The following is an 11,591-nucleotide window of genomic DNA, read 5'->3' as shown; positions in this document are numbered from 1 at the left end:
CACATAGAAATAATAAATACTTGGGTAATGAATACCCTAAATACCTTGACTTGATCATTATACATTCTATGAATGTAACAAAATTTCCCATGTACCCTATAAATATATACAAATATAATGTATTAAAAATTTAAAAAGAATCTTTGTTAATATTTGACTATTTTTTCAGACTTTTAAATGTATTTATTTGTTTTTACAAATATATGATTATGTTATACTTATTCTTTTGTGACCTGATTTTCTGCCTGAAAATGTACATACAGAAACACACACATAGGAAACTTTTCAGTTCAAAAATGTACTTGTATAAAACCAAAACATAAAGATGGTGAATAAAGTCTAGTCAGAAGGTTTTCTATGTAAGAGTAAAGAGGAGAGTGAAAGATTTTACCAAAATATTAGAAATATCAGAAGTATGTAAGCTTAACAATGACTTCCCCATATGGTTAGAAACAACATTCTTGAATTCTGTCTTACAATTTCCAATCCACATTTGTGTTTTGCTTAAAGACATTTTAGTGACTAGCTGGCTACTGGTAGTTATGCATAAATTTATCAGTTTCCAATTTTATGGTAAGCTCTCCATGTCCTTGTTGCTATATAAAAGCTGAATAAGAAGATAAGATACAGATGCTCTTTATGTCAGAAATTCTAGTTTTAAATTGCAATTTTTTAGTCTGTAGTTACAGTAACAACTTGACTGCTTTGACTAAAAAACCAGGTGTACTCAAACTCAATTTTCTTACATCAGACAAAATTTACTGAGAATTTATAATCCAAATTCTTGTCCTGTTATCTTGTCAACTATAATACGGAATCTCCTTTTGTCACGTGCTCATAACTCAAAGTACCCTAAGTAATTACTTAAAATAAAGATTTATCTAATAAAATAATGTTTATTTTACCAGTGGAGGAATTAAAGGCTAGAGAAGTGACTTGTTAAAATTACATAGATAATTACTGACCAGCTATGCTAGCAACCAATGGCTCGTTACACCTAGGTTGTCTACTAGACAATGTAGTGCATTAACCATGTCTTTTATTTTTTTGTATCCTGATGCCTTTACATGTGTGGCTTTGCTAACCCTGGGGGCGCTGCTCCTCCCAGAGTTAGCCAATTCCTAAAGATGGTAAACAACTCACCCATCAACACACTTTTCAAATGCAAAGCAAGCAATCCAGATCCTACAACTTTAACAATCTTCCTTATCAGGCTCTCATACTCCTGGACCACCATCCACTTACTCTAATCACCCCAGGGCCCGGTACCAGGCAACTAGAAAAAGCTCCTAGGTCCCAGAACCCACTGAAATTACTCAAACTGGCCAGATTTACATGTGCCTCCCCCATTCCTTCTCCATGAAAACCATAATAAAGATTGTCCCACATATTCCCCCCTCCATGCTCCTGCCTCCTGACTGATTCTGGTGCTTCTCTGTGTGTCGCCCCCACATGGTGTGATGGGGGAATCATGTGAGGTCTTGAGAACTGTGAGTACAACAAGCTATCTCTTCAATGGCAGTTTAAAACACGTAGACATTTCTAGACGGGCGCAGTGGCTCATGCCTGTAATCCCAGCACTTTGGGAGGCTGAGGCGGGCAGATCATGAGGTCAGGAGATTGAGACCATCCTGGCTAACACGGTAAAACCCTGTCTCTACTAAAAATACAAAAAGTTAGCTGGGTGTGGTAGCATGTGCCTGTAGTCCCAGCTACTTGGGAGGCTGAGGCAGGAGAATCGCTTGTACCCCGGAGGCAAAGGTTGCAGTGAGCTGAGATCGTGCCACTGCACTCCAGCCTGGGCGACAGAGTGAGAGTCCATCTCAAAACATACACACACACAAACACAGAAACACACACACACACACACACACACATTTCTAAACCATGATAGACCAAGGTTACTACCACCAAATAAACATTATGTGTACAGAGGTTAGAATCATTGCCTCTGATTCTGCTTCATAACAACATTGTATCATCTCCAATCATTCAAATAGACCTAAGAGAGGTCAGGACCATACCGCTGTTAAAATATTAGTACATATTTCTGTATATATGTATATTACAATATGAAATATGTATGAATTACGTACATATTTCAAACTTCCCCTTCAATTCATCCTTTCCCTCCTCCAAATTTGTATGGAGTTGGCAAATCAGGATTGACATGAGAGTCTCTGGTTAACTATGACATTAAATTCGGTGTATATATGGCATAAGACCTTTTGGCTTTGTTTTGGTATTATTACTTTGTCCTGTTATAGCTAATCTCACAATTACCAAGCTTTCCAGTACCTTCTACTGGTGGTCTCTAACTTTATTTCTACACTTTCCTCTAACATTTACGGATAGTGAATTTCGCAGTGGTTATAAGAAAGCATTGACTATTAAATGATTGTAGAAGTTTACCCAATATTATCTTCTTGTAATTATATTTTAACATGGTAGCATTTGCAAAAAGGATAGAGCATCTGGCAAATAAAGATTATATAAGTAAAGATCTGTGACTCCTCAGAGGAAAAGAAGTTGATTGAAGGGAAAAAGCATTTCTGTGGTATTTATCTTAAAACTAACATTAGTAAAACTCCTGGGAATTTTTCTGTGCCTCCACCGCTTCTTCTGTTTGCAGATTCTAGGATTTGGTGTCAAAAAGTACCTTGCATTTATATGCAATTACTCTTGTTCCTATCTCTTGACATTTAGATAGCTGGAGAACATTAATAAATTCACGTTGGAAACTGATATATACAATCCACATGATCTTACAATGAACAATAGAGTAGACGACCCAGGGGACATGCAGTGGTCAGTTCGTCAGTAAATACAATCTCATCTGACTTACCCTTGTACACAGTTTCTTAATACTATGTTATGGGTGAATGTGTACCTCTTTGGTTTGATATGTTTGAAAGCAAAGACATATTTTCTAATTGCTCACAAGCTTAAAATCCTCAAAAGTCAGACACAGAAACAGTATGATCTTGGACATAATACCAGTGACACAATAAAAACCTGTGGTCATGACAATGATAGTCTGGCCAGATGTTACCTAAGAGTTAATCACAGTCTGAGATAAAGACCTGAAATCGAGTCAATGGCTTTTCTTAATCTAATCAGTTATTAAAATGACCAGTAGAGTCTGCCTGCAGATTTATTTCTATTATCAGAAGAGGTAATGCTTGAGGGTTCTCATTTTATAGAAAATAAGATTATTAACAAATGATATGCAAAAACATGTTTAAATTCATGACTAATTGAAAAATAAACTCAAAGTAACAATGACGGAAATTTATAAAGACTTATGATATTACAAGCTGGAAGTATCAAAATGCAGCAAGTGTAATACAACATTGAGAAGGAGAAAACACATGTTCGAGGTATACAGAAAAGGAAAACTTAGATGAGAGTTCTAGAAAAAGAGGCTGAGCTTTGGAAACAAAGAGACAGCAATGTCCCTATGATCTGTCTCGAAGCAGGCAAGACGCTGGCATCCTGAGGTCACTGGGACACTACTTCACTATCTTTGCTTATTTCTAGAATTCTCTTGGTTTGTCTAGTCAGTTTTATGCTATCATTTCAACTAACTGATTATCTCAGAAACTTGACACCCCAAATTAAAGTCATCTTTTCAACTAAGTGGTACCTTAGTATCTGACACCTGGGAATAAATTGGCATCTGTTGTTACTATACATATTCTGTAATCTAGTAAAGACTCCTCATTTTAATTCCAGTTGTATGTCTGCTAAAGAAATCTGTGGCATCTTTTTCTTATTTTTATTTTAAAAAATTAAATCTTACTTTCTGACAATAGAAATTAAACTGTTAGTAAATTTTTACCTTATTATAAAGTTGTTGTCGAATGACTTAATTCTCATCTATGCTGACCATTACTTATCTGCTAAGTAGTAAAAGCTTGTGTTAAGGACTCTAATATAAAGTAGTGCTTTAGACCCTGTGAGTCATTTTGTAACAAGGAAAGACTCTTTATGGAAACCATAGTCCGGAGATCTGATGTTCAGGTGCCCCCGACTGAATCAAAGCTTCAGAGATGAGCAACTAGAACAAGAATACAAAAGAAACAAAAGCAGAAAACAGAAGGATGGTACTTCAGGACTCTTCTAAAACAAGGAGAAGCTTTTAATAAACCAGCTTGAGTTGACCTTAGGTAATACAGACATAAGGCCTCCAAGAGCTGCTAAATTCTTCTTTAGGTAGGATTAGGCTGATGCTATGGAATGTGTCTTGTGGTTCAGAGTTCCAGTCCTTGTGGTCAGAGGGTAATGGTGACATTTGGAGGAATTTTAGGTTTATTTGACTTCCTCTGCCTTGGACAATACCCAAAGTTTGGTTTATAAATCTCTTTCCTGTGTAATGAGAGAATGAGCCTGCTTATCAGTTTGTCAATAATATTTTATTGAAATGCTGTTTTATGATTAATTTACTTTTAGAAGACATAAAAGATATGCTAATTTTTAAGGTTTAGATTATACTGTTTTGAGTGAATGATTCACAGATGATTTTGAACTGGAAAACATGACATGACAGTGAGGATGTTTAAATTTCAAGTGTCAATTTAACTTTTTCTCCCTAAGCAATACATGGCAGTTAAGCTAACATTAGCTTGAAGTACCTAAGTGTACTATAGAGAAGAGGAGTAGATGGCAGGGCAAGGAAAGAAAAAAATATATTTGCTTAACATTTTCTAGCCCTGAACTGTAATGACCAGAACAGGCATAGTATACCCACCCCCATCCCACCATACTGTGCATAAAGAAGATGCTTCAGTCCTCCACACTTACTTAGCCAAAGAGATCAAGATATTATCAACCAACACTTCTGTAAGAGGGATCACCAAGGCAAGAAGCCTATGGCCATGCAGCATTTGAAGAGGCCCACAGACAAATGTGCATTGAGGTACTCTTAAAAAATACCTCCTTATTGGTCAAGAACCATTCCAGATACTTTTAGGCACTTTGGTTAAGTGAGTTTAGTCCGTGCTTTGTTTTCAGGCAACCTCCTGACTTTGAACCAAAATTTTGCTTAATTTAATCCTGTCAAGTGTCATTTAAAAACAGTTCAATCTTTCAGGGTACAGTAGATTGGGTTTGTTCTGTCCTTAATTTGATTGACTCAATAGCCATCCAATTTAGCCAAGAATTATTAAAGCTATAGTTTCTGAATTAACCATGTTTCAGTATATGGTTTTCCTCTTGTCTTAGCTGGAAGGCATAAATACTTTCAGTTGGTTGCTTTCTCATGGTTGCCATGAGATTCTAGAGTTTTCAGCTTTTCTTTCCACTCTACTTAAACTCTGTTTTTACTTAAGTTATATCTTTATCTAAGCAGGATTTTTTTCCCCCTGTTCTTAATTCTATAAAAATCTTAAATGCTTTTTTTTCTATGCTTTCCAGGTGATTTGTTATCTCTTTTCCTGGGGTAATGAAATATTCTTTTCTAGTTGAGCTTCACTATTGTAAATATCCTTTTTATACTCTGTTACTAGAGACCTCCTCATCTTCTTTCCTTACTGAATACCCTGATATTAGGACTTTGGGCTGTAACACTGAGTTGCAACTAACTATGACCCATTAGCCTCAACTTTTTTTAAAAAAATGATATATTGTAATTGTACATATTTATGGGCTACAATTTGATATTTCAATACATGTCTATGTTTTATAATTATCCAATAAGGGTAGTTAGTATATACACTAGCTCACAGGTTTTGGGTAATGCTGCTTTCCAGGCTTTTGCCCACTGGATACTTATGCTTTTGAGTGATTATTTTCAGATGATTACCTGCCTTTTTAAAAACTTTTACAAATTGAATGTCATTTTGTTTCTGTTCCCATTTCCAAACATATTTGGAAAATTTACATTATCTTTCTTCTTTCTTTTTTTTTTTTTTTTGAGACAGAGTCTTGCTCTGTCACCCGGGCTGGAGTGCAGTGGCACAATCTCGGCTCACTGCAACCTCTGTCTCCCGGGTTCAAGCAATTCTCCTGCCTCAGCCTCCTGAGTAGCTGGAATTACAGGCGTGTGCCACCACACCCGGCTAATTTTTGTATTTTTAGTAAAGATGGGGTTTCACCATGTTGGCTAGGCTGGTCTCAAACTTCTGACCTCAGGTGATCCGCCAGCCTTGGCCTCCCAAAGTGCTGGGATTACATTTACATTATCTTTCTTTCCATAATTTCCAATTTGGAATCATCAGCCAACATTGCTTTTGAGAAGTTCATTTCCTATTTTGGATTATTAATAGGCAAAGTCTGTTATCCTCTTAACTCCTATAAAACATTGTTTACTCTTCTCTCTTATCATCTCCCAAACAACTTTGCATATGATTAGTTGTGTTCATTTTCCCTAAAAGATCATAAATGTCTTCAGGGCAGAGAATATGCAGCTTCCCATTTCCCATGGGGAATAGCACAATGCCTTGCACATGGAAGGAAGTTAGTAAATATGTTGTGAATTACATTACTATGGATATTTGTAGTAGAATGTGCAAGTGCCTCCTTAGAACTAGAAATATTGCCATTCAACCTAACACAGTTTGTGCTTTTTCTTCTTAATGTCTTTCAGCTGATGTTTACCACATGTGCTTATGCAAATTAGTTTGAATTAATACTATTTTTATAGCTTGAGATACTGCATTATGTCTTTTAAAGTTCAAGCACACAATAAGTGTCACATTTGTTCTAATCACAACATGAAATTTAAGAGGGAAGCTTTTTTTGCTTTTTGCTTTTTTAAAGTTAGTTGGGCATTTCTATCTCAGTGTTTAAAATTCTGATTGCTTTTGTTTTGAAATATTTCAATGTTTTCCCTTGGCATTTTCTAATTATTATATAAAATAACACAAACAGATGAACAGGAGCAGTGTTTCAGCCTTCTATCTTGTTTTGCCAGAAAGCCCAAAGTGATTGTTAGCCTTGAGGTTTCTCTTCCTAATTTTCCCCTAGTTTTCCGTGATAAAATATTCTCCTGATTTAAAATATAAAACTATTGCACCATAAAAAATAGAAGGTATAAAAAGGCATAATTAAGAAAATTAAAATTATAATATATAATTCAGGGATTATCATCATTAATGTTTTAGGAGTATATTCTCCCATTTTTAAATGAAAAACATTGTTATATAATTTTCTTTTTTCACTTAAAAGAATATATACGACATTTTTTCAAGCTATTAAATATTCCTCTACAATATTATTTTCAACATTTACTTATTATTCTGATACTGGCATACCTCGTTTTATGCACTTTGCGTTATTGTGCTTCACAGATACTGTGTTTTTTACAAGTTGAAAACCCTAATTGAGCAAGTCTATTGTTACCATTTTTCCAACAGCATGTGTTCACTTTATGTTTCTGTGTAACATTTTGGTACTTCTTGCAATTTCAAACTTTTTCGTTATTATTATATCTGTTGTGGTCATTTGGGACTAGTGATCATAGATGTTACTACTGTAATTGTTTTGCGATGCCACAAACCCCACCCATATAAGATGGCAAACTTAATTGATAAATGTTGTATTTGCTCTGACTGCTCCACTAACTGTCCGTTCTCCCATCTCTTTCCCTCTCCTATGGCCTCCCTGTTTCCTGAGACAAAACAATACCGATACTAGGCCAATAAGTATGCCTACAATGGCCTCCAAGCCGTTCAAGTGAAAAGAGGAGTTGCATGTTTCTCACTTTAAATTAAAAGCTAGACACGACTAAGTTTGTGAAGAAGGCATGCCAAAAACCAAGGCTGGCCAAACACTAGGCCTCTTGCACCAAAGTTAGCCATATTGCTGATATGGAGAAGGTTTTAGTGGTCTGCATAGAAGATCAACCCAGATGCAACATTACCTTAAGCCAAAGCCTAATCCAAAGCAAGGCCCTCAACATTGAGGCAAGACCCTCCACCAGCAAAACAATGTAATACAACTCTCATTACTCTGCTTACCTCCATTTCCCTAGGAGAATGTAGGAAATGATGTGGTTTTACTTGACTCTAATACTTAATGGCAATTGGAGCACACTATTTGAGATTCTTAGTTTATTCATCTGTAAAAGAAAGATAACGATTTCTACTGTATTCATCTCATAGATTTCCAAAAGGATCTAACGAGAAATGATTATGAAAAAAAATTAAAACCTGCAAGCCAGTAGAAAAACAGAATGTGAGCCTATTAACCAAGCACTGAGTGTGAATCCATGGGCTCAGAAAGCTATTTAGGAGAAGAGGATGCCCAAAAAGGAAGTCTTATATCATCTGTCCCTCATTAGGTTCTTCCTCATCTTCTTATATAGCCTATGGTCACCCTGCAATGGCTACTAACACAATCACTTTCCTCATCAAAAAGGAAAATATATGGAGCACATGAGAAAAAAAACAAGGAAAAGTAAAAGTGAAATACCAAATTTGATACCAAATTGATTTTAGTTTGGATTTTTAAAAATGCATGTTGTCAACATTCAGCAGAGCCATTCAAAAAATGCATTGCAAGATATTCATTAGTTTTGCGATTTTGTTCTCTATCAAAACTTCATTTTTCCCCTTCATCTGTCACATTTTTTCTGCTTTTCTATCTTAAATGCTCCTTCTCTAACTTTTTTGTTGTAGATTTAAATCTCTACTCACCTCCTGTATTACCTAACTAGGCCCAGGGCAATGTTGACCTCTTTTAGGTTCTGTCCTTGAAACTAAGTTAATATCTGATCCCATTTTTTTTAACCTCATCTGATTTTATTGATAGTAGATATTTCCAGGAGCTTTTCAATAAACCAAGGGTTTGAGGAGCAGCTGCTCCCTGACTGCCACAACGAAGCCTCATTTATCCTACTCTTCTCTCTCTTTTTTACTCCCCAGCTCCAGTGATGCAGAGAGGTCGTAGACTCTCAGATCACCAGAATCTTATCACTCTAAAGGCAAACCATCCAATCCCTTCATTACTTTGACGTTGGAAGCAGTCAAGGTCACAGAGCTGATCAGCTCTAGAGCTGTGAGAAGAACATTGATCATCCAATATGAAAGCCAGTGCACATTTCCAACATGTCCCTCTCTCAGTGGGATCTCTGCAGTTTCCAAAGCAGCCACAGAGCAGCAGGCGCCGGTTACGTCCACATCGAGGGACTGACAGTCTTTAGACACAGGAGCCACCTTAACCGCTGAAGGCCATTATTCACACTGTTTATCTAAGATGTCTTCTTGCTGAAGTTCCATTTCTGTCCAGGCAAAAACCAATCCTGAAGATTCAGATCAAATCCAGATATTCAATAAAGCCTTTTCTAATCACTACACAAAGTTAAAAGCAATAACTCTTCTCTCTGAATTCCTAATTCACAGTATTGATTATCTTCCTATATCAGTGTTCTAGGGCTGCCATAATGAAATAGTGATTAGAAAAGGCTTTATTGAATATCTGGATTTGATCTGAATCTTCGGGATTGGTTTTTGACTGGACAGAAATGGAAGGACAAAGTAGTGAACAAGACAGGCATGGCTTTTACCCGTGTGAATTTTACTATATTAGTGGAGGATACAGACAATAGACAAGTGAACAAATCAAGTAAGTTGTGATTTTCAAACAGTATTTTAAAGGCGAACCCATACAGTCATTGTTAGTGTTTAAAATCTCAGTTCCTGTTAGTTCATTACTTCTAGGCAGCTCAAAGTTTCCTATGGAAATGGGACACAGATCAGGGAAATGTCAGTGGGGGGTGGGAAAAAACAGAACAAAGAAACATAGGACGAGTACATGGAATATTGAGTGGGCGCCTCTCTCGGAAGCTTAGTTGGGGAGAGGCAGCTGGTCATTAGGAAGGGAGAGGATAAGGAGAATGAAGGCACCTTATATAAAGAAGAAATGACTGGAGCAGAGACCAGAGATACGGAAAGGAAAAAGGAGCCACAGAAGAAAAAATAAAAATCTCTGAGAACCAAATATTTTCCTCTTTAAAAGTCTCCCAAGCAGTGATGTTTCCCTACTGATATTCCAAACAGGCAGGTTAGTCAAAGCCTGCCAAAGAGGCTGTCCCAAGGTCCTGTATTCATGATTAGAATTTTACTTTCAAATATGTAGAATAATTTTTTCTTTAAGCTCTAGAAATACACATATTACATAAAATGGGGAAATTGCATCAATAGGGTGTTTGTGTATGTATGTGTGTCAGAGACACTAATTGTGGCAAACCTAGCACTCAACAAATATTTATCATATGTTTATCACAAGTCAGGCACTCTATTAGGTGTTGGAGATAAAGCAACAAATAAAACAAATACAGCATAGAGTGTGGTTTAATTGTTTTTGCTTGTATGACAAATCTTTGTGGCTTTAAACTAAGCTTTTCTAATTTCCTTAAAGTACCTAGTGACAAACTGATAAACTTTACTACAAGTATATTTGAATTCCATGCCTTACCTTTAACAGCAGCTATTGTCTCCTCAGTTACCTTCATGTGATAACTATGATACATAGCACTGGAGACAGTGTCCAAACACGGTGGCCACCCAGTAGCTATTAGTTATGAGGAGGAAGAAGAAGAAAATTATAGTGTCAGAAAACTGTAATTACTAGACTTGAAAATGACATTGTGTTCTGAGATATGCAGAAATGGAGGAAGTTGAAGAGGAACGATCAAAAGACCTGGGTGTACATGCCAATATTTCCATTTTTCCCTTGAGCAGATTATTCTTTCTGGATCTCTACATGCTCATTTATAAGATGAGAAAATAAGGTCATATCTTCCTATGTCATTGGAGGCTGTGTGGATCAAATAATATAGCATAGGTGATAATAATTTTGTGAGTTGTAAAAACATTATTCAGTATAGTGGTTAATAATATTTTTGCAGAATGTACATTATTTATCAATACATGTATCTTTTCCAAATGTAAGTAATATTTTATTAAGAAATCTACCATATCTAATGGTCAACAATTTAAATGAAAAATGTGAGATCTATATTTATTTCTCAGAATGGAAACACAAAGGATATGTGAGACAGGCATGTTTCTTTTATGGGAGGGAATGATGTTTAGTTGTTCAGAAAATGGTTCATGCTGGTGAATCTGTGCCATCTCTGACATCTCCATAGCAACAAACTCTGATGTAACACACAAAGGAACTTAATGTAGAAATCAAAAATAACTCAGAGATATGGTAATGGGAATTCAGAAAGTTGCTGGCAAAGTAAGAAAAATGTTTCCATGTAAATATTTTCTCTTCCACCTCTATTCTTAATGAGAAAGTACTTTCTGAAATTTATTTGTAACTGTAGCTCTTATATTTAAATACTCTCTCTTTTTTCTCTGTTAAAAAGTTGGTTATTGCAAAGTGAAACATTTTTAGGAAAACAAAACATTATAAGCCTATAATTCCTGACTCACTTAAGTGGGCATATGGTCTCTTATTCAAGATAACATTCTTAGGGCCCAGCTGTGGTTCTAAGCTACAATAGACAGGAATGGGTCTGACTACCCTTGACATTTTCACTCCCCAAATTAGAGTAATGAAGAATCGATGGATCGCTAATCAGATTGTGTTGTATGTCCTTGTCTGTTTTAGTAGGTTCAGTGTTTATTAAAATGAATAAT

At 35.9% G+C, this 11,591-nt stretch overlaps 2 annotated features.

The window, feature by feature from the left end:
* Positions 402–1,025: an enhancer, noted in NCBI's record as "OCT4-NANOG hESC enhancer chr7:122925683-122926306 (GRCh37/hg19 assembly coordinates)". NCBI's record gives its function as "activates a minimal SCP1, AML or CMV promoter by ChIP-STARR-seq in primed H9 embryonic stem cells {active_cell/tissue: H9 hESC(primed)}" and the evidence as "EXISTENCE:reporter gene assay evidence [ECO:0000049][PMID:30033119]".
* Positions 1,026–1,649: an enhancer, noted in NCBI's record as "OCT4-NANOG hESC enhancer chr7:122925059-122925682 (GRCh37/hg19 assembly coordinates)". NCBI's record gives its function as "activates a minimal SCP1, AML or CMV promoter by ChIP-STARR-seq in naive and primed H9 embryonic stem cells {active_cell/tissue: H9 hESC(naive and primed)}" and the evidence as "EXISTENCE:reporter gene assay evidence [ECO:0000049][PMID:30033119]".

This window comes from Homo sapiens, chromosome 7 (assembly GCF_000001405.40).
Source record: "Homo sapiens chromosome 7, GRCh38.p14 Primary Assembly".
Taxonomy (NCBI): domain Eukaryota; kingdom Metazoa; phylum Chordata; class Mammalia; order Primates; family Hominidae; genus Homo; species Homo sapiens.
Note: the sequence above shows the minus strand (reverse complement) of the source record. Positions and strands in the feature narration are given on the sequence as shown.